This window comes from Homo sapiens, chromosome 22, assembly GCF_000001405.40.
Source record: "Homo sapiens chromosome 22, GRCh38.p14 Primary Assembly".
NCBI classification, from domain to species: domain Eukaryota; kingdom Metazoa; phylum Chordata; class Mammalia; order Primates; family Hominidae; genus Homo; species Homo sapiens.
In genome coordinates, this window is record NC_000022.11 from 27,572,111 (window position 1) to 27,594,658 (window position 22,548).

General features: G+C 49.7%; 4 annotated features.

The window, feature by feature from the left end:
• Positions 1,678 to 2,251: an enhancer, noted in NCBI's record as "H3K4me1 hESC enhancer chr22:27969749-27970322 (GRCh37/hg19 assembly coordinates)". NCBI's record gives its function as "activates a minimal SCP1, AML or CMV promoter by ChIP-STARR-seq in primed H9 embryonic stem cells {active_cell/tissue: H9 hESC(primed)}" and the evidence as "EXISTENCE:reporter gene assay evidence [ECO:0000049][PMID:30033119]".
• Positions 3,829 to 4,329: an enhancer, noted in NCBI's record as "H3K4me1 hESC enhancer chr22:27971900-27972400 (GRCh37/hg19 assembly coordinates)". NCBI's record gives its function as "activates a minimal SCP1, AML or CMV promoter by ChIP-STARR-seq in primed H9 embryonic stem cells {active_cell/tissue: H9 hESC(primed)}" and the evidence as "EXISTENCE:reporter gene assay evidence [ECO:0000049][PMID:30033119]".
• Positions 4,330 to 4,830: an enhancer, noted in NCBI's record as "H3K4me1 hESC enhancer chr22:27972401-27972901 (GRCh37/hg19 assembly coordinates)". NCBI's record gives its function as "activates a minimal SCP1, AML or CMV promoter by ChIP-STARR-seq in primed H9 embryonic stem cells {active_cell/tissue: H9 hESC(primed)}" and the evidence as "EXISTENCE:reporter gene assay evidence [ECO:0000049][PMID:30033119]".
• Positions 19,174 to 19,673: an enhancer, noted in NCBI's record as "H3K4me1 hESC enhancer chr22:27987245-27987744 (GRCh37/hg19 assembly coordinates)". NCBI's record gives its function as "activates a minimal SCP1, AML or CMV promoter by ChIP-STARR-seq in naive H9 embryonic stem cells {active_cell/tissue: H9 hESC(naive)}" and the evidence as "EXISTENCE:reporter gene assay evidence [ECO:0000049][PMID:30033119]".

The following is a 22,548-nucleotide window of genomic DNA, read 5'->3' on the forward strand; positions in this document are numbered from 1 at the left end:
TTTTGACTGGCTTCACTTGTTGAGTGTCTGTGCACTGCTCTGCCCCAACCAGCTGCAATACAGACTCGGGCTGCCCAGAGTTTCTCTTCCCAGCAAGTCTCCCTCCCTTTGGAGCAGCAGAATCCAACCACCATAGTTACTGGGTCCATGAGAAGCAGGGGCAGGAGAAAGAACTCAGATCTGGAATTCAATGCTTGGGCAAATTGCTTTCCTTCTCTGGGCCCCAACCGCCTCTGTAAAATGGAAATCAGCCTTGAATCTCCCTTGAGAAGATTAAAGAAGATCATAAAAGTCATCACAGTTTCCATCTTGCTCTCTTGGATCACGCATTCTGGGGAAAGCCAGCTGCCATTTTGTGAGGATGCTCAAGCAGCCCTGAGGACAGACCATGTGAAGATCCAGAAGAACTGAGGCCCCTGATCAAAAGCCAGCCATGAGTGAGCCACCCTGGAATTAGAGCTTTCAGCCCTGGTCAGGACTTCAGATAACTGTAGCCCCAGACACACAACTGCAACAGCAAGAGAAATTCAGAGCCAAATCCATCCAATGAAGCTGCTACCAGATGCCCAAAACACAGAAACTATGAATGATAATAAATGCTTATTGTTGTTTTAAGCTACTAAGTCTTAGGAGTGATTGGTTTCACATCAACAGATAACTGACATACACAGTAACTGACAGCTATATACCCAAAGATAAATCATCACCAATATTGTTTCCTGTGTGCCAGGTACTGTGCTCAGTAATTTACATACATATCTCATTCCATCCTTACCCCACACTGCAAGGCAGATGCCAGTATGAGGCCTGTTTTACAGATAAGGAAACCGAGGCTCAGAGAGATGCGGCAACATGCCCAAGGTCACACAGCCTGAAATTGGCAGAAGCAGGATTTGAACCCCGGTCCCTCTGACCCTAGAACCAAAATTCTGAATTACTACACTACACAGCATTCCAGATATCCATATAAATTATTATTATCACTAGTATTAACTTTTAAAGGAGTGCTTTTCTCAGTGGGAGGGCTTAGAATAAAAGCAAATTGCCTTTGAGCCCTTCAATTACTCCATGGTTAATCAGACAAACTGCAGACCTCTCCTGCTCTCAGAACCTGAAGTCGGGCAGCTGCAGGTGACTGTGAGGAGGAGGAAGGAGGCACAGAGATGGGCGGGAATTCCCAGGACAGTGCAACAGGAACAGCCTGTCTGCTGCCTGCCGGGGCTGCAGGGGTTAAAGAGAACTGCCTGGCCGCAAGAAAATCTCTCCAACGGTGTTAGAGCAGGGGAAAAAGGCAAAATGATTGTAAATTCCGCCAGGGGAATTCTGCCATGAATCCGGCTCACCTTTCGAAGACCCCCCCGCTGCCGCCCCCCGCCCCGCCTGAGAGGATAACTGACCTTTGGAGGGAAATAATGAAAAGAAGAAATTCCTTGGAGAAAATAATGTGTCCGGGCCCCAGTAATGAGATCGGCTCCTTTTATGTTGCCATGGAGACAGCAGTCATTTTATAATACAAAATACATGAATGGGTGCGGGCGGGCGCAGCCTCGCCAGCCCAGGGGGGGGTCACCGGCAGTATTCGGGGGGCAGGTTAGCCTCTTGCAGGCTGTGGTCTGGGGGTCGGGAAAATGGCTGGGGTCAGGGGCCACTGTGCCTCACTTCCCCAGAGAAGCAGGCCTGGCTCCTGGGGCCTTCTCAGGCTGGGGCCTTGGGACTCAGAGAGGGGCTGGGGGCCTGATGGGTGACAGCAGCCTCCATGACTGCTGGGAGCAGGGGGGGCCCAGGCTCCGGCACATTCATAACATTAACCACAAGGCCCACCTTTCTCGGCTGTGCCTGCTGCGTGACCTAAGTCAGGGTTTTTCTGCAGCTGTCCTATGAGGGAGAGGATTGTAGCTCTGTTTTACAGATCAGGAAACTGAGGCACGGAGAGGCAAATCAACTTGATCGATGTCACACAACAGGGATTTCAGCCCAGATACGGCTAGAGCTGAAGTTTTGAGTTAAGACCAGGGACTCTGGGTGTCAGCTGGGAGGCTAGCACAAGGGAAACTTTCCGGGTGCTGAAAATGTGCTATTTCGTAATGGGTGGTGTATACATGTAAAAATGCATTGCGCTGCTCTCTTATACTCTGTATGCTTGAGAGTTTGTAAGTTAACTCTCCTTTTTAAAGCGTGAGTGTGTGTGTGTTTACTACAACATGAAGTCTCTGATGTCAGCCAGATCTACACTGAGACCCCAGCCCAAGCCCCAGCTTCATGTGTGACCTTGGCAGGTGGCTTCCTCCTCCGGGTCCCCCTGTCCTGTCCTTGCCTGTAAAATGGTGAGATATGGTACCCATCTCCTGGGGTTGTTGAAGGACATCATGCATGGGATGGACTGGGTGCAGGACTTGGGCCGGGGGGAACCCAGACATGCTGCTGAATGTCATCTCTCTCTCTCCTGATGTGTTTCCAATGTTATAATGATGATGGCGACAGGAAAAGCCGGTGGGGTAAGAAGACGTCTAGAGAAAGACCTGGAAGAGAGGAGGGAAGGGAAACTGGAGCTGAGAGAGGAAGAAGGGGAAGAGGAAGGAGACAGGGAAGAGAAGGAAGGAAAGGAATACAGGAAGGGGAAGAGGAGGAAGAGTTCAGGGAGGGGAGAAGAGGCAGCAGATGAAGAAAAGAGGCAGCCGGGAAAAGCGTTTGGAGCCGGGAGTCCAGGAGAACCATGCACTTTTCTGCTGTGTGTCCTTGGAGAAAGCGCTGTCCCTCTCTGAGTCATGGCTTCCTCATCTGTAAAAAGATTACCCGGGAGGTCCTCGGAGCATAGAGTAGGTACTCCGGCTGCCGAAAAATAAGAGAGAAAGTAGAGGAAGGGCTGAGGGTGGTGGGGCTGCTCTTCCTCAGAGCATGAATTTAGCCCCCATCCCCAGGCAGTGGCCGCCACTCTCTGTCCATTCCTTGTCCTTGAAAGCCAGCTCAGAGATCTGCCACCAGCCATGGGAACGGCAGGCCAGTTCCAGCAGGGACCCTCGAAGGGAAATGCAGTGACAGCCCTTAAAATAACAGCTCCGGTCAGCTTTTTATAGGGCTGAGACTGAGTAGGTAGTGCAGGAACTAGTTACAGGGATCTTTGTCTGCAAAGAGAAATTAGGATAGGCGAGCATGGTGGCTGCAGAGAAGCTGAGGTCTTTTCCAGAGGGAAAGCATGGAAAAATGAAGTCACACGTCACCCAGGAGGCTGGCCTACAGCCAGAGCCAAGCTGTGGGCTCATCTGGCCCCGGGTTCTGCCCAGTGCTCACCTTCTGAAGGTGGCCTACCTAGGACTCGTCCCTTTGTCTGTCTGGAAAATGAGCTTAACTGCCAAGCACTTCCCGTGCCAGCCCTGCTGAGCACTGCACATCTGTTATCTTATTTAAGCCTCAAGACATACGTTCATCCCCATTTTACAGATGAGAAAACTGAGGCTCAGAGAGGTTAAGAAACATGCCCAAGGTCACTCAGCTGGTGAGAGACCTGGCGGGGATTTGAGCTCACATCTGCCTCACTCGGAAGCCCATACTCCTGACACTGACATTCTCCCTCCTTGCCACCTCCCTGAGAAGAGAGAGACAGCCCAAACCCAGCCTATAGTCGCATCAGTACGGGGCACTATAATGCAATGTCCTTGCCGTTGACCCCAAGCCTCTGAAATCTGGACTGGGGAGTCTGGGGTGAAACAGACCAAAGCCCGGGGTTTGGGAGAAGTAAATGTTATATTTGGGGGCACTGGTATTTGGACCAACTGGATGCGTCTCAGAAAAAATTCCATTTTGTTCATCAGTAACCCCAGAGAAAAATGTCTTAGGGCAAAAAGGAAATGTCAGAACAGGCCTGCTAGCAAGAAGACAGAACAATCTTTTCATTCCTGTGTTCCGCTACATGCTGCCGATGAAGAAGCTGGTTAAGTTAAATATGAGACATTTCCAGCCAAGATTTGTAGGAGCCGGTTTCCAAGCTCAATTTTGCCACTGACTCTCAGTGTGATACGAACCTTAGTTTCCCCATCAGCAAATTGAGAACTAAAGATATCTTTAAGATTCCTTTCCATTTTAAATGTGTTCAGTCCCCAAGACACCCTCGAGAGGCCAACCTGGCCTGGCTGTCCCCATTGCACGCAGTGGAAACTAAGGCTCAGGAAGGGCAGAGGGCTAGCCCCCAGTCTCGTGGTAGCTTCAAACTGGACTCAGCCTTAGAATTCCTGCTTGGACCACAAAATTCAGCTCTCGTGGCAAACTGCCCCCCGCACCATGAGAGCCCAGCAACCTTGCAGAGCAATGGGTCCCTTTCAAGGGTCTGGCTCCTCTTAGCCTGGGGCCGGATGGTGTCACGGAGACATCTGGGGGCAGTCTGGCAACCCCCTCAGCCTCTGGGTCTCTGAGACATCCTGGGCCGTGGCGCACATCTGGCTAGTTGGCCGGAACCACAGCAAACATCTGTGGGAAGGGAGGGAAGGGAGGAAGGAAGCTGGTGCTCCCAGGGTCTGAGGGACAGAGTCCTGGCCCTGCTCCAGATAGCCAGGTAAGCACTTTGGCTTCAGGTTTTGGAATGTGTCTATGAGTCAGTGCATGCACACACATGGTATACGTGTGTGTACGTGTGTTCGTGTAAGCACTGTGTCCATCGTGTGTTGTATGTGCATGCATGTTGCATATGCATATGTGTTCTTGTGCTGCATCCATGTCTTTGTGTGTATGTTGTCTGTGTGTTTGCATGCACACATGTATTGTGTCCGTGCTTGCTTGTGTGTACATACATGGATAGGTGGATGTGTCTAGGTGTATGTAACAGGGATGTATAGCAGCAAAGACTGAGCTTGAATTCCAGGCCCACCACTTCCTGGCTGTGTGACCCTGAACCAGTTAGTGTACCTCTCTGGGTCACTAACAATAGCACCCACCCCATTCAGCTCATGAGGCTTTGGGGAGCTAACCCATGAAGACCAATGAACACTGGCCCACAGCAAAAGCTGCATAACTGGCTGCGATTATTCCGCTTCTTTTCCTGCCGGCTGCGTCTCTGGGTGCCGCAAAGATCCAGCCATCAGGGCCGGCTGCTTGTTGATGGGCCTGCATGCCGCCCCCCGTAAATTCAGGAATCGCCTGCCGCAGGAATGCCATATTTCTATCATCTCCCAGACAGCGTCAGCCTTCTCTGAGCTGTTTCCCTTTGGCTCACAGCCAGGTTTAAGAGTTTTACGAAAATTCCCAAGACCTTTAGCCGTCTCGACTTGAGAAGACAGGGCTGCTGGGCTGGGGAGAAAATGAGAGGCTACTGAAGGCAGGAAGCAGGCTGCATTCCTGGTCCCAAGGAGGTACGGCTGGCGGGAGGCTCAGAAAGCCCAGGACATTCTTCTCCAAGTTAAAAATACGCAGCACGTCAGCTGCAGCAAAGGCCTCTGCAACCTAAATCTATTCCAGAAAGCGGAAAGGTACAGCAGCATAGATGTTTCAGGCTAAGAGGAAAAGAAGGCCGTTCGGTCCCAACACTGAAGGCTCCCAGCCAACCTGTGTCCTCCGCACCGTCACCCCTGACAGCGGTGTTCCTTCCACCAAGTCCGCGCGTCCTTAGCGACATTCTCCAATGCACAGCACCCAGATCTGGGGTTCAAATCCCAGCTCCACCCCTTACTGTGTGTCCTCTGGAGACTTGCTCTACCTCTCTGAGCCTCAGTCCTTTCAACTTTAAAATAGGAACAAGAAGGCATTCCTTAAGAGGTGCGCTGAGGGTTAACAGAGATGGTGTCTGTGAAGCGGAGCCTGGTCTCCTTCCAAACTCAGGCAGGGCCTACCCCTGGGTGAGCTCCGCCTCTCCTGACATACACACTTGTTTGAGGGGCAGGGAATGCCCCAGGCTCGGGAGTCAGGAGGTCTCAGCTGTGTTTGCTGTGTGGCTTTAGGCAAATCACTGAACTTTTCTGTGTGACACTCCCATTTCCCCACCCATGAAATAAGATGGTTGAACTGGATCAGTAAATCCCAAAAAGAGGTTTAAACACCCCAGTGGCTGGGAGATGGTGGTACACAGGCATAAAACTTTTTGTTTTTAATTCTCAAATATTTATTTTTATGTGTATTAAAAATATCATCACTTCCAATTTGGGATGTCATGGATATTGTTGCTAAGGCTGAGGCTAAAATCTTTTTTAAGTGAGTTAGTGTAAAGTGGATTTAAAGAATGACGTTGGGTTAATAATGGGGCAAAAACTACCTAGGTGGCCATGAAAGACCGAGACTGGGGGATATTCCACAGAGAAGGTAATCTCAACCCCTGGCTTCTCTCCTTCTTGGTTTTGATATTATAAGTAAGGACCTGGCACAGTGGCTCATGCCTGGAATCCCAGCACTTTGGGAGACCAAGGCAGGAGGATAACTTGAGGCCAGGAATTTGAGACCAGCCTGGGCAACATAGTGAGACTGCATCTCTACAAAAAATTTTAAAAATAGCCAGGTGTGATGATGTGTGCCTGCAGTCCCGGCTACTCAGGAGGCTGAGGCAGGAGGATCACTAGAGCCCAGAAGTTGGAGATTGCAGTGAGCTAGGATTGCACCCCAGCACTCCAGCCTGGACTACAGAGCTAGATTCTGTCTCTAGAAAAACTAAAAAATAAAATTATGGGTAAGTCATGGCATCTATGAGCCTTAGTTTCCTAGTCAGTGAAATAGGGATAATAAAAGGTGCCCCCCAAGGCCACGACGAAGGTCTAATGAGAAGATGTCTTGAAAAGCACCTGACAAGATGCCTGGCAAATAACAGATGCCCAGAGGAGTGACTGTTATTGCGGAACTTGTATCAGAAGCCTAAAAAATTAATCATCATATCCTGAATTACTATTAATTGTATTATTATTATTTTCCAGCCACTGTTCCAAGCACTTTATATGAATACAGCAGGGATCATTTATGAAGCACTGATTGTGTAACAGGCCCTAACCACATTTTATCTCATTTAATAGCTCTGTAGTTCACACAAACGGCTCTGTAGTTCACAATTCCAACAGATGGCTATTGAGCATTTACTTGATTCAAGACACAGAAGATTCCAGAGTAAACAAGCCAGGAGAATCCCTGCCTGGTGAGGCTTCAGTGATACAAGGGCTGTTTTATAGCTGAGAGGTCTTGGAGATGAGATGAAGCTCTAGGACAAGGCAAAGGGCAAATGTGAGCCTGAGTCTGTCTGATTCGAGTATTCAGGCTGTCCCCACAGGGACTCCCCATCCCCGGGAACAGTCAGAGCATCTTCACACCCAGGCAGCTGTGAAGGAGATTGGAGACCCATCCATGTAAAACACAAGAGCAGGAGCCGACAGTTACCCTCATCTTCGATGCTCCCTCCCTTGACCCCACTGGAGGACATAAGTGTCCAAGAGGCTGAGACAGCCCCAACTGCCATCATCTGCAAACAGAGAGATGGGGTTACTGTCACCCCTTGCCCATGCAAGGGGGATCACCATGGGACAGAGAGACGCCAAGGGCATGTTAATGAACCATGCATGCTGAACTTGACACACACTGGAGGCTCCAACTCGTTCCTAAGGGACCTGTACCCTAATTTTTGCCCATAATGGGCTCCAGGTACTGTCATTCGAAAGGAGTCAGTTTGTCACTTACAGAGCACTAAGGATTGAATGAGATGGGGCTGGGTGTGAGGAAGGAGGAGAAGGCAACTGCAGGAGATGTGGACACCGTGCGGGCTCCTGCAAATCGGGCAGCAGATCTGGCATTCCTACCTAGGCTTTAACTTCCCAGCTCTTTGACATGGGCCATAAAACCTAAGCCTCAGCTTTGCCATCTGTAAAATGGGGATAATCCTATCAACCTTGCAGGGTCCCGTGTGTGGAACTGCACACAGGGTGCACATCACAGGCAGCAGCACAAAAGTGGCCCAAGGTCCTGCCACAGCTTTCCCAAGCACATGCCATGAAGGGCAGCTCAGTTCTGGGTTCTGTTTCAGCAGGAATGGGCTATGCAGTCTGGCACAAGTGCTCCTCCTCCAAGAAGCCTTCCTTGACTGCCTCTTGTCAGGCTGATTTCTCCTGCCTTGAATCTACTGCAGGGCTTACCTCAAAATCACAGGTCATTCCACTGCCTCATCCTCAGGTCGTGGTAGAATTTAGTGGCACACGATTGCCCTGCTCAGCTTGCAGATGAGGAAATTGAGGCCCAACAATGGAAAACGGAGCCAGTGTGGCTCTCTCCACCTCCCTGCTTCTCTGGGCTTTGCCTCCCCACCACTCAAAAGAACAACATAAAGCAAGCAGCCGCTCACTGAAATCAGCCTTAAACCTGAGCCAAGGCTGCCCCTTGACTTCTGCAACCAGGAACCCTGAGTCATGCCCTGGCCTCAGCCCTGGCGGCTCCAGATGGGGGCACCAAGGCGGGTCGGCAGTTTGCCACCTCCTGGCCACTTCTGCTAAGTGGAAACACCAGCAGGAAAGGGGTGAGGCCATGTGTGTGCCAAGCGGGCACCACACATGGGTGTCCCTCTGTGTGCAGTGCGTGTGTGCCTAAGAGTTCACCCACATGCATGTTACAACAGGAACCACACATGGTTGTGCACAAATGAGACCAGATCACACGTGTGTGCCTGAGGGTGTCCCGCATACATGTGTGTAGGCATCATATAGCGGATATGGAGGTCTTAGAACAATCTCTAAGCTCACAGTCGCACTTGGAAGAATCTGAACTCCGCACCAGGACCGCAGGAACCTGAATGTGCTGCCTTACCACTACCACTGTCACTGGCCTCATTTCCACCTGCTCCGTCCGGCCTTCCTGCCACTCCTCAAGGCCTTGTCCCTCTTCTGGAACATTCTGCCCCCAGATCTTCCCAAAACCGATTCCTTCTCATCCTCCACTATTTCAATATGGGCTTCAATATGGGGTGGGGGAGGTGGGAAGATGTCTCTTTGATGCCCCCATTGTGCCCCCCATGACCCTCACCATCCTACCCCAGGTTATTTCCAGCACAGCTCCTCCCCAGTCTAAATGATTTTGTTCTATGTGGTTTGTTTTGGGCTCTCTGAGAGCTTGCCTCCCCCATTAGACAAGATGTTCCATGAGGATGTGGACTTCACCTGCCTTTCTCAAAGTCGGCAAGAGCTGTCTAACGTGACCTGCTTGAAATACACTCATCGGCTAAATCATATTGAGTGTTCACGTGTGTGTATGTGTGCAAAGGTGTGTGTGTGCATGTGCCCATGTGTATAGGGCTGGCATGTGCACCCGTGTGCTAGTGTGTCTGCATGCATCTGTCTGTGTCCATCTCTGAATAGATGTGTGTCCATGGAGACAGTGGGCGTGTGTATTCGGGGAAGATGCCCCAGAACTAAAGGCACTGGCTAGAGTCCAGGAAGGGCCCTGCCCCTTGGGTAGGTTTCACGGTTCCATCTCTGCACAGCCTCCAGTGTGGAGAAGAAAAGGTGGCCACGACTGCTGTGCCCTGAATGTCTGGGTGCATGGTCTCATTTCATCTTCCCTACTCTAGAAGAGGTGGGTCTTACTAGTCACTCCCATCTTACAGACAAGAACTTGGGGACGGGGAAGTCATGCACACAGGCCCCACAGTGAGCAAGTGGGAGTCAGAATCCAAACCCAGACCCTTGGGCCTGAGCCCTCTGGGTCCCACTGCCTCAGCCAGAGTCTTCCAACAAGACCAGAAGAGGCAGAGGGAGCGCGGGAGGGAGAGAATTCAGAAGGCTCCAGTCCCCGCCCAGCACTTGGCAGCACTTCCCCACACATGACAACAGTGTGAACACAGAGATGGGAGTAACAGCTGGTCTCTGCCCCAATCCAGATGTGGGAGAGACAGTTTCTCCCAAAATACTCTCGCTGTGAAGTCAGAAAGCCTCCCAGTATAAACAAAATGTGCTGCTCAGTGCTGGGAAGGAACTGCTCACGTCTCCGCCAACGGTCCACCTGCTCCCGAGAGCTCATCCAGGCCCTCAGCCCTCCTGTCATTCCCTCTTAGGGTCGTCTCCAGCTAAAAGTCTCTGGGAAACCCCTGTTAAAATACAAACCCATTCATCCTGGTAGAACCAATTACAAATGCTCCTTGACTTACACTGGGGCTGTGTCCGAATAAACCCATGGTAAATTGAAAATATTGTAAGTTGAAAATGCATTTAATACACCTAACCTACCAAACAGTACAGCTTGGCCTAGGATACCTCCAGCGTGCTCAGAACACTTACATTAGACTGCAGTTAGGCCAAATCATCTAACACAAAGTCTACTACATAATAAAGTGTTGAATGTCTCATGTAACTTCTTGAACACTGTACTGAAAGTGAAAACCAGAATGATCGTATGGGTATCCAAGGTACAGTTTCTACTGAATATGTATCACTTTCAAACCATCTTTATTCTATTTATGTATTTATTTATTGAGACAGGCTCTCGCTCTATTGCCTAGGCCGGAGTGCAGTGGTGCAGTCACAACTCACTGAACCCTCAAACTACTGGACTCACGCGATCCTCCCACCTCCACCTCCTGAGTAGCTGGGACTACAGGTGCGGACCAGCATGACTGGCTAATTTTTGTTTTAATTTTTTGGAAAAGACAGGGTCTCACTATGTTGCCCAGGCTGATTGTAAATTCCTGGGCTCAAGCAGTCCTCCCACCTCCCCCTCCCATAAGTTCTGGGATTACAGGCATGAGCAATCACACCCAGCCTTGAGCCATCTTAAAGCCAAAAATGTATAGGTTCACCTAGGGACTGTCTATACACAATTGGTTCTAAACAGAGGACAGGAACACGAGAGAATGGGACGTAGGACAGACATGTTTTGACAGGGCAAGGGGCCCAGCAGGTGATCCTAAATTTTAACTGTTCAGCCTCTTTCCTTGCCAGTCCCTAATGCTGCCTTTGTCTCCAAGGGAGAATTTTCTAGATCCCCACCTGTGTCTTGGTCTGCCCCCCTCTTGTTCGCGCTGTTTCACCTAAGATTTTATTCAAAGGAAAGATGTTGCTGCAAATTTAAAAAGTAGGGTGTGCGGGAGAGGGAGGATAAAGTCTAAAATCACTGACCTGACCTGACCCAAACATTGGACCGGAAACCAAGGCCCAGAAAGGAGCTATGACCTGCCGAAAGCTAAACAGTGGAGTTTAATAAAGTAGCGTAGCATTCAGGTTCCCCATCTGCTGAGCCAGTGGTGTCTGGCCCTCCAATGGGGGGTGGAAGGGACTCTGGGTTCCACAAGGTCCAGGAGGGACAGAGCATCCTGGACACAAGCCCCACTCCGGGCCTAAGGTCAGGTGAGAGATGGGAGAGAAATGACGGGAATGTCAAGGGATTTTCGGGAAACAAGCAGGCCCATCGGTCATCATGGACACCCAGCCTTCAGCCTGGAGTCAAACAGAAATCCACTACGGTGGGAATGTCGGGGTGGGCGCTCTAGGCTCTGTTCCCTCATCCCAAGAGGGTTTCCTCACCACCCAAGCCTGTCCAGGTTCCCCAGGAGAGACTAAGCCTTGTCATCATTGAGATAGACACAGGGAGGGTTTAGACACTCTAGCTAAGCACGTCCATAGGGAGGATTAAGGATCCCGCAGGATTTGAATTCATACAGCCCAGCCACAGAGCCTGGGTTTGAACTTCACCCTACCTGGCTGGGAAGAAGGTCTCACGGCTGGAGCCAGAAGGAAAAACCAGGAGCTCTTGTGAGCCCAGGGTGCTTGGAAACACCCTCATCGATGGGTTTTCATCCAAGAGACCCACTCAGACAGGAGACAGGAGTAGCTGCTATGTTCAAAAGCCATGAAAAAGCCCAAAAGTCAGTGGGCTCCGAGTGGGGCGTGGATCCAGCGTCGCTCCAGCAACCCTGGACAACAGCCTCATAAACAGGAGGGGCCCAGGAGGAGGCAGTGGGGGAAGGGCCCCTCCCAGCCAGCCCCAGGATCCAGGGGTGCCCTGCAGAACCAGACAGGTTTGAGGAGCCAGAAGTCAGTGTGAGGTGAGCTGGGAGCGAGGAAGGCTGAGTGCAAACGGGCTCACAGCCATCAGGCTTCCGGCAATTCCATAGCAGGGGAGCCTGGAGAGCGTCCAGCCCATAGTCACGGACACCTGGAGCTGGGAGGGGCTTTAAAAGTCTCCCAGGCCAACCCCATCACTGATGCCAGGAGCCCTGTCAAGGAGTTGTCTAGGATCTGCTTGCACACTTCCAAAGACAGGGAGCTCATTCCCCATTTTAGGTACAGAGTAATGTGCTGTCTTTCCATTGAGCTTAATCATCTTTCCATTCATTCCTCCACCCCTTGGACCACACTGAACAAAGCCTGAAAAATTCCCAAGTCCCATTTATAATTTTTTTCTATTTGCCTATGCCTTCATTGAAAAATACAAATACCATGAGAATTGGATGAGTATTTTTACTGTTAGTTTCCTACTTCCTAGAACAGCGCCTGGCTCATGGTATAATAGATTCTCAATGCATATTTATTGAGTGATTAAATGAATGAATGAGATTGGGGTGAACATACAGAGAGCATTCCTCCTTATGTGTTTGAGCTAAAGTGTCTAGGCTGGACTGGTTCAGGAAAGAGTAATTTATCCAGGGCAGACAAAGGCACTTAGAAGAAGGGATGCCTAGGTGTCAATTCCAAGGTAAGACAAGGACCAGGTGAAAGGAAAGAACAATGGAAGCAGGCGGAGGCGAGGAGGGCTGAGTGTGTGGTCCAGGACCAAGGCTGGGAATAAAGTGGGAAATCAGGGTCTCTTGTTATGCCGTGTGGGGGCCATCCTAGAGGTGATCGCAAAAGCTTCATGAAGCCAGATGCATGACCCTGCAAGGACAGCAAGAAAGATCCTGCAGGGTCAGGGATAATAATCTCTCTCCCAAGAATACAGCAACCTTGTGATTCATCACAGCATCCTTCAAGGGCAGATATAAACCCAGTTTGCAGATGAGGATGCTGAGGCCCAGGAAGTAGCAGAGGCAGAACTAGAAGATGGGTCTCCTCTCTTCATGACACACTTCCCTCCCCTCCTCCCCACCATAGACCTCCAGAGGGCAGAGGAGGCAGGAAGAGCTGAAAGCACCCTGGCCCTTTGGCGAAGATCACTTGGGGCTGCCAAGTAGGTAGGCTAAGGCCAGAATGTGAAGGGGAAAGTTTGAGCTCCCTCCTGCATAGGTAGGATGCCACTGGGCAGCATTAGAGGAGCAGTGGATTAAAGTTGTGGCTGAAGCTTAGTCAACTGCTCACTTCCTTGCTGTGTAATCTGATGAGTAAACAAGCCTGTCTGAGCCCCCTTTTACTCATCTACAAAATGCCGATAATAGGAGTAGCTGCCCAAGCAGTTGATATGGACACAATGAGATGCATGTAAGTCACAGCCCCTTTCACACAGTAAGTGCCCAATAAATGTTGGTTACTTTTTTCTTTTTTTCAGACAGAGTCTCACTCTGTCGCCAGGCTGGAGTGCAATGGCGCAATTTTGCTCACGGCAACCTCTGCCTCTCGAGTTCAAGCGATTCTCCTGCCTCAGCTTCCCAAGTAGCTGGGATTACAGGCATGCACCACCACACCCGGCTAATTTTTGTATTTTTAGTAGAGACAGGGTTTCACCATGTTGGCCAGGCTGGTCTCGAACTCCTGACCTCAGGTGATCTGCCCGCCTCAGCCTCCCAAAGTGCTGGGATTACAGGCGTGAGCCACCGTGCCCCGCCAGTGTTGGTTACTCTTATCAGATCTTGAGAAGTGGCATCACTCCAGCCTCTCATCACAAATTGGGCCCTCCAAGGGGAGCCTTGTCTTCAACCTTCGAGAGCTCTCTCTCTACCACGGGACGCATTTGGGCAGGGGGGTGTCGTGGATGTGGCTGCCTGTTGCTGCACCCCAAGAGTCTTAAGCCAGCTCCAGCAGGGCAAGGTAAACCAACTTACTCTGTAATCTTCACAACTGCTCATTAATTCTCCTTTCAGGGACACATTTTTCCCGGCGTTCTGCCAACTACCTGTCCTGCTATATTTCCTTAGTGTGAAAGGAGGAGCAGATAGTTTACTAATTTTGGATTTGTTCACACCCAGGACCGGAGAAAGATGGAAGTCCTCAGAAATCATGGCTCACTCTCAGAATTTATCCATCCCTCCGTTCTTCCACCCATCCAGCCACCCATTCTCCCATCAACCCACCCTTCCTCCCACCAACCTATCCCTCACCCATTCACCCACCCACACACCCATCTATCCATTTCTTCTTCCATTCCACCAATATTCATTGAGCACCTTCTCTGGGCCAGACCATGTGTCAGGTACTGGAGGATACAGGAGTGGACTAGATAGACCAGACTCTGATCTTGAAGAATTCACAACGCAGATATCAATTGAATAATCAGCTGAATAAATGCATCTCACCTTCTAACTCATTCCCCACTCTGGAGGCAGAGAGAGCCTTTGAAAACCCAAATCTCTGGTTCCCATTAGCCTGGAAACAATGACCCCCACTAGACTGGGAAGAAAATACCCTCTCAATCATCGCTGCTGGAGATGTAAAGTGTTACAGCCTTTTAGAAAAGCAATCTTGCTACATCTCTGAAAATGTAAAATCTACCTTATGCCCTAGCAATCCCCCTCCTGGGGATCTCTCCCACAGAAACAAACACACAGCACTTAAAGCCATGTGCTCAAGAATGTTTCCTGCAGTATCATTCATAGCAGCAAAAAGAAAGGAAAGGCAAAGCCTCAGTCAGGGAATGGTGAAAGCATCAGGGTACAGCCAAGCCATGGAGTATTATGCAGCCAAGGACAGGAGGGAATAGAGTTGTACCAATCAGCTCAAGATATTACCAGGAGATGTCTGGCATGGAAAAAGCACTATGGAGAAAGTGTGTGCAATGTGATCCCGTTGTGAAAAGAACATCAATCGCAATGCTTCACATATGTGATGACATGAGTATGAAGAGAATTATGAAAATTATAGGAGAATTCAGACTAGGTAGTTAACTTGGGTGACCTGGCTTGGGGGGTGGTCTGCAATGGGAGGAAGCAGTGGAGGAAGCCAAGGAGAAAGAAAAAAGGAAGCAAAACTGTCAGCACTAAAGAAACACATAAGTGACATGACACTTAGGCAGGTATATAAAATTACGTATTTGGTGTCTTAGTTCGTTTGTATTGCTATAACAGAATACCAGAGACTAGGTAATTTATAAAGAAAAGAAATGCATTTGGCTCATGGTTCTGGGGGCTGGAAAGTCCAAGATCAAGGAGCTACATCTGGAGGGCCTTCTTGTTGCATCACCCCCTGGCGAAAGGCAGAAGAGCAAAAAAGTATGTGCAAGAGAGAGACAGCAAGAGCCAGACTTACTTTTATAACAAATCCACTCTCGCCATAATGAAGCCATTCCCCATGACAGCAATATTAATCTACTCATGAGAAGAGAGCCCTCATGACCTAATCACCTCTTAAAGGTCCCACCTCTCAACACCATCACACTGAGGAGTAAGTTTTTAACACACGAACTTTGGGGGACACATTCAACCCCATAGCACATGACTAGTGTATAAAGGAATTAAACAAAATAAATATTTAAGAAAAAGAAAACCCTAATCTGATTGTACCTCCCCATGTGCTACCCCCAAACCCTTTCTTCGTTCTCCCTGGCCTCACTACCTGCAATACTGACCCTGCTTCTTGTCACCTAGAATGTGTCATTGTTCCCTAACCAAACCCAGATTCCATCCCACTTCCAGGCCTTCACATGTGCTGTTCCCTCTGCCAGGGATGCCCCTTCTTGCTGCTATATACATCATGGCCTCTTTTTCAGGTTCCCTGAGAGATGTTTCTCAAGCCTGAAGGCTAAGCATGAGCTGACACTGATGGGTGCCTACTGCATGCCAGGCATGAGGTGGGCTTCATCCTCACAGTGCCCTTGGGTTTCTCTGCTCTGCTCTGCTACCCAATATTTGTGCCAAGCACAATCACCTCCATGCAATTTTGGCTCTTCTTCAGGAATCTTAGCTGCATTGATTCATTCCAGTTTACAGAGGAAGTTACTGAGGTTGAGTGGCAAAATATAACACCCAAAATCACATAGTTAATGAGCCAGGATTTGAATCCAAGACTGATCTGAGGCCTGGCCTTCTCCTCCCTATTCCAGGCTGCTCTTGGAGAGGAAAAACAAGATGTGAATTGGATTCAGGTACTGCAGTTTAAGGATTAGTATCTCCCTTTCAGGTGAGTTTGTTGCTCAGACGCACACTCTGGAGTGAGGAATATGGATTGCAGCAGCTGTCACAGGGCCCTGATACAGTCAAGACCTCTCAGGCTTCCCAGCTGGAGACACACCCTCGGCCCAGCTCCCAGCCTATGGTCATCGCCACTGCTCACCTAATATTTACCCAATATCATTAAACACCTTCTTCCTGATACCTTCCTGGCCCCCCTGCTTCCTACGTCAAACAAGTGCAAACATCACAGCCTCCAGGGCAGGTACATAAATCACCGGGTCTAGCAAAAGAACTATTATGTCCATCCCACCTCTGGGAGGCAGTGGCTGGGCCCTGCCAGGTTTTAACCAGATGTTCGCATTTTGGGGCTCTGCCTGGGTATTTACACCAGAAGTTTCCCCCAGGGTTTGAGGACAGAGGTTGCCTCAACACAGCCTTACCATTCAGAACCTCAGCAAAACAGGCAGGCCTAGCAGCCATAGGAGATAAAAGGACGTTGTAGTCCACTAACATCTCGAGTGGGTGAGTGGTCCAAGCCCAGAAAGGGGGAGGACTTTGCCTGAGGCTGCATAGTAATTTAATCAAAAAGAATTCACATTTCTCAATAACACAGGAGGTGTCCCCTCAACAACAAAAAGTCACCAGCACCATCATCATTATCATCACCATCACCATCATCCTCACCATTATCATCATCCTCCTCATTACCATCATCATCACCCTCATTCTCCTCTCCTCCTCACCAGCACCATCACCATCATCATCACCATCACTATTATCATCACCATCACCATCATCACCATCACCATTGCCATCATTATCATCACCATCATCGTTACATCATCATCACCATCACCATCATCGCCATCACCATCACCATCATTATCAGCATCATCATCACTATCATCATCACCATCATCATCATCACTATCATCATCACCATCATCATCATCACCATCACCATCATCATCATCATCATTGTTTTGTAGCCACCCATCCTGGAGGCCATGGTGAGCCCTTAGCGTGATGCTAAGTACTTCACATGATCTCCCTTGGAACCTGACACACTTTGGCCATTCATCCACTCTCACCATTTCTGCCCCTTCAAATAAATCCTTCCCCCACTATTTGTCCATCATTTTTTTAACTTTCGGGGACACTTTTTTAATCTCGGTGTCATCTGAGGCAAGAACATCCACGAAAGTACTGGTAGAATGTGCTCATTCTATTTGTGTCCAATATACACTGGAATAAATACATGAAAGTGGAAAGTTTGCTCATGTCTTGCTCCTTCTGCTGATGAAATTCAGACCACCCCTTGGCAAATGCTGTGTCCTTTGGTTCAATCTTCAGGATGACCTTTCACATTTAGTAAACTACCCTTTCATGGACCAGACGAACTGAGACTTGGAGGGGTAAAGTAGCTTGGTCAACCAGCCCTAGAGCAGCAGAGCCAGAATTCAGACTAGGGCGTGTGTGATGCCGAGACCTAGGTCAAAACTCCTCCTTCTGCTGACTCTTTAAGTCAAACGTGCCAGGAAACTTTTAGCTCTACTCAGCAACTAAAGAATAATAGAGGTGAAAGGGACCGCCCAAATAGAAGTGCACCCATTGTACAGATGCAAAAACTGAAGCCCTGATGGCTAAAGTGTAAAATCTCAGACGGGCCAAGATCCAGACCAGACTGAGGTGGCCCAGGAGGTAAACAATGAGCCTCTCTCACCCCCGGAAATTCTGGAATCACCATGACTCCCCTTTGGAGTCTTGACCATCCCACCACGGACCTTGGCATGACCCATCTTCTACTGGGATGCTCCTCACCCCAATTTGCCCACCTCCATTCAACTTAAATGTACCCTCAGCCAGGCGCAGTGGCTCATGCCTGTAATCCCAGCACTTTGGGAGGCCGAGGTGGGCGGATCACCTGAGGTCGGGAGTTCGAGACCAGCCTGACCAAAATGGAGAAAACCCGTCTCTACTAAAAATACAAAATTAGCTGGACATGGTGGCACACGCCTGTAATCCCAGCTACTCGGGAGGCTGAGGCAGGAGAATCGCTTGAACCCAGGAGGCGGAGGTTGTGGTGAGCCGAGATCGTGCCATTGCACTCCAGCCTGGGCAACAAGAGTGAAACTCCGTCTCAAAAAATATGTATATACCCTCCTCTGCAAGACCTCCCTCTCCAGATAGGACTCCCTGCTTTTCTGTATCCCAGACTTTTTATTTTTTCACTTTATAGCTCTTCAACACAATTAATAATCATGACTTCATTGGTAGATTGATTTGATTAATGTCTCCCACTGAACTGTGAGCTCCAGGGGGGTAAGGGCCCTGTCTTCCCAGTGCCCTGCTGTTTACCAGAGCCAGGCACAAGGTCAGGGGTGAGTAAATATTTGTTGAATGAATAAATGTGTGAATGAAGGAAAATCTGCCTTGAGGGCTAGGACCCTTGTAAGACTTACCCCTTTTTTTTTTTTTTTTTTTTTGAGACAGAGTCTCGCTCTGTACCCAGGCTGGAGTGCAGTGGCACGATCTCGGCTCACTACAAGCTCCACCTCCTGGGTTAAGACTTACCTAACTCTTAGCACCCAGCATAGTGTATAACACTTAGGAGCTTTCATGAAAGTCTATAGGTAGAGGGAAGAGGAGGGAGGGAGGAAGAGAGGCAGAAAAAGGAAAGGAAGAGTGAGGGAAGGATGGGAGAGAGAAAAGGAAGAAGGGAAGGAAAAAGAGAAGTAATGAACTTCCACATTTTAAAACAAGAAAGACTGAGGCCCAGAGAGGAAAAAGAGGTTCCAAGGACACACAACAAGACAGCATCCAGGTCCCCAAGTGTCACAGCCTTTCGGTACAACCCCATTTGTCCACCTGCTCTCCCGTCTTTTGTGCACACACCAGGAAGGCCTGCACCGGCCTTGAGCTATGTGCTGGCAAGGGCGTCCAGAGCTGGGGGAGGCACCAGGGCAGGCAGCCAGCCCCCTTGCCGGCTCTGCCCAGGGGCTGGACCTCTCAGAAGCTGGGCGATTGCAAGCCAAAGGACTTCCAGCTCCCCCTCCTGTGGGCCACAGGGTCCCAGGAGGAAAGCAGTTGGGGAGATCAGCCCTTTTGTCACAGACAGTTGAATTCTGACCAATTTATCTGTCAGGATGGCACTTGCAGACCCGAATCCCGGAGCTCATGACGCTGTAGTCAAAATACGCTCCTGACACCTTTCCCGTGTGAATTATGCCCGGCGTCCGTCCACAGGCAGGAGCTGCCATTGCCCTACTTTTGTCTCATTGCCCCAGCTGTCCTGAGCCTCAGAGTGGGAGGAACACACAAGCAGTGGCCAAGAGGGTCTTAACTCACTGTGGACAAATTTCTGCCCATCAGCTGCAGGAGGACTGGGCCCTGGAGTGATACCTGGTCATTCCCTGCTTGCTGGAGTCCTGGCAACTCCAGGCAAGAGTGCCTGCCAGGGCTGAGGGACCCAGCATCCACATCCAACAGGTAGCTCTGACCCAGAATTCAGCAGCATCTAGATAACCAAAAGGAGCTGTGAGTCAGGGGATGAATGGGGCTCGCCAGGAAACCAAGGCTGCCCGGGGCCCCTAGAGCCACATGGCTGGAGAGGGGACTACAGCATCTGTCTTGGGGTTGGTGGCATTGAGGGGACTTGTTGTGGAGCAACCCAGATGTGGGTTTCTGCATCTTCTGTTCTTTGCTTAATTCATTCATTCATTCCACCTGTCACTTGACAGGTGGTCATTCTACCAGCCATTCCACCAGCCATTCATCATCAAGTCAGTCTATTCATTGGCCACGGGATACAACTGAGACTCAAACATTGGAGTCAAGCAGGTATCAGGCACAGCTCCTCACCTTTGGGAGACCCCGGGCCCTCCACTTCACCTCTCCATCTCTCCATGCCTTGCCTTGCTTATCTGCAAAACAGGATAATAAGAGTTCCTACCTCACGGTATCAGTGGGGGCATTTAATGAGATGGTGACGGCACTGTTTAGCACAGGGTTCAGCAGGAAGCAGCTGGTGTCAGCCTTTACAGTTATCACTCATCCTATAATTTGGTGACAGGAAAAGAGCACAATCCTAAGAATAGAAGGCTTGAGATTTCAACTTGCTGGGTTCTGCCGGCCGGTTCGTTGGCTAACCTCTTATTAAAGGGTATGATGGAGTGAGTAATTACTACACACAAGCCACTGAAGATTAATGGAGAGAGACTGGCAAACAAATAGATGTGGCAGGGCCTGTAGGTGGGCCTTGGGGTTGAAGGATGATCATGAAGAACCTCCTTGAGAAGGTGACTCCTAGACTGGATTTTGTAGAAACAGTAGGAGTTTTCTTGAGAAATGGTGGGGAAGCTCATTCCAGGCAGTGAGAACAGCATGGTTAAAATCTTGGAGGCCTGAAAGGCATACTGGACTTGGGATCATAAATAGTTCCAGATAACTGGAGCGTGGGCTGTTCCCGGGACATAGAGGAAACAGCAGGCGCCTGATCAGAAAAGGCAGGAACAGCAAAGCTTAGAAGTAGTGACACCTTTCAGCATCATGGCTCCTGGTGATCTGGTCATTGGTTCTAAGAGCCACCATTTCCTAAGTCTCACTTTGTGCCAAGTTATTTATCAACATTGCCTTCCCTAAACACACGGCCACTCTGAGAGATGATGGTTCTCATGACACCCTTTGGACAGGTGGGAAAACCAAGGCCCAGAGAATTAAAATATCTACCAAAAGCCAAACAGCTAGGGAGCGGCAGAGCTGGGATTTGAACCCAGGTCCATGTATCTCCTCACTCAGGCCCCCCTCACATCTGCAGGCCAGTTGTGGAGAAGCAAAAGGGCTAGTGTGTGTGGGGTGTGCATGAGTGTGCACACACATCAGAGAGGCATATGTGTATGTGCATGCATGAGCATCCACAAGTGTGTGGGCATGCCTACAGTGTGGATGTAGGAGGGTACAGTGTGTTTGGCAGTTTGGCATTCATGTGTATGCATAGGCATGCATGTCTACTGGGTGTGCTTGCATGTATTGGTGCAAATGTGCCCATGCACTAAGGCTAGGTATACGCCTAGTCACTCATGGGTGTGACTGGGTGCATCCCTGAGCACATATGTATGGCTTTGTATGTGCACATGTGGATACATGTGGGCATGACTGCAGCATGTACACATACATGTACAAGTATGCACATGGCCTGTGGCTGGGTATAAGCATGAACATATGTGTAACTGTGTACATTCCCTCTTCCACATATGTGCATGTGTGAATACATGTGGGCATGCCAAAAGCATGTGCACATGCATGTGTAGGCATGAACATGTACTACCAAGTACATGTTCATATACGTGCACCATATACAGGTGCATGCATTTCCAGAAGGGTGTGGGACTCCCTGCGTGTGCATCTCCTGCCATCCCCAGGCAGCTTCAGCCACAACCCACAGACAGAAGCCACAAAACAAAATTCTCCTTTTCTCTCAAAGCTTCTCAAGCTTATGGCCCAACACTTGTCAATACTAGGAGGACCAGAATATCATCAGGTAGTGATTTTCCTATTAAAAAAAAAACAGCTACATAAATCAGGCCAATGCTGTGGTCACCACAGCCTCAGGATTAAACATATATGGTGGCTTGTTTCAGCATAAATCGCAACCTTTCACTTGGGCCAGGCTGGGTGAAACCATGTTACGTAAGTGCAGCCTCAAGTGGTGGCTCCTGTCGTGGTCCATGTCAGGCCTGAAACAACAGCCCTGCTCAGCATGTCCCTAAGAGGCTGAACGAAGGTGGGTCAACCACTTCCAGTTCTCCTGCCATGCTGGCCTCAGAACAGATGAAGGGAGGGACTGGAGGGAGGAAGGGCCCTGTGTTTATCTTTCAGCCCTGTTGCCTGCTGCTGAGTGTCTTTGGGCAGTTCACTCAACCTCTCTGTGCCTTAGTCTCTTTGTTCTGCAAAATGGGCATATTGATCATACCTCCTTGGGATGTTGCAGTATTCAATTAGATAATGAGGCAAGGGCCTGGCTCTGCAAAGGCCCAGAGTAGGAGCACAGCCCCTGCCCTCTGCTGTTGTTGCTGCCAAGGAAACTAGCCAAGATCTGGAAGGAAAGCCCCACCTTGGGGAGAGGAACCGCCTGGCTGGCTTAACCAGTCCCGATTCCCTAGAACCTATGTATCTCTCAGGCAAGGGAAGGGGGACATGTTACTGGATGGCCCAGTCAGCTCTGGTTCTATGCTGCCTAGAGTCTGTGGACAGGACAGATGGCCCAAGGAGTCACATTGGCCATGCCCCTGCCTCTGTGTGCTCCTGAACCCATCACAGAGGTGGATCTTGCACAGCATAGGGTGATGTGTAAGTGA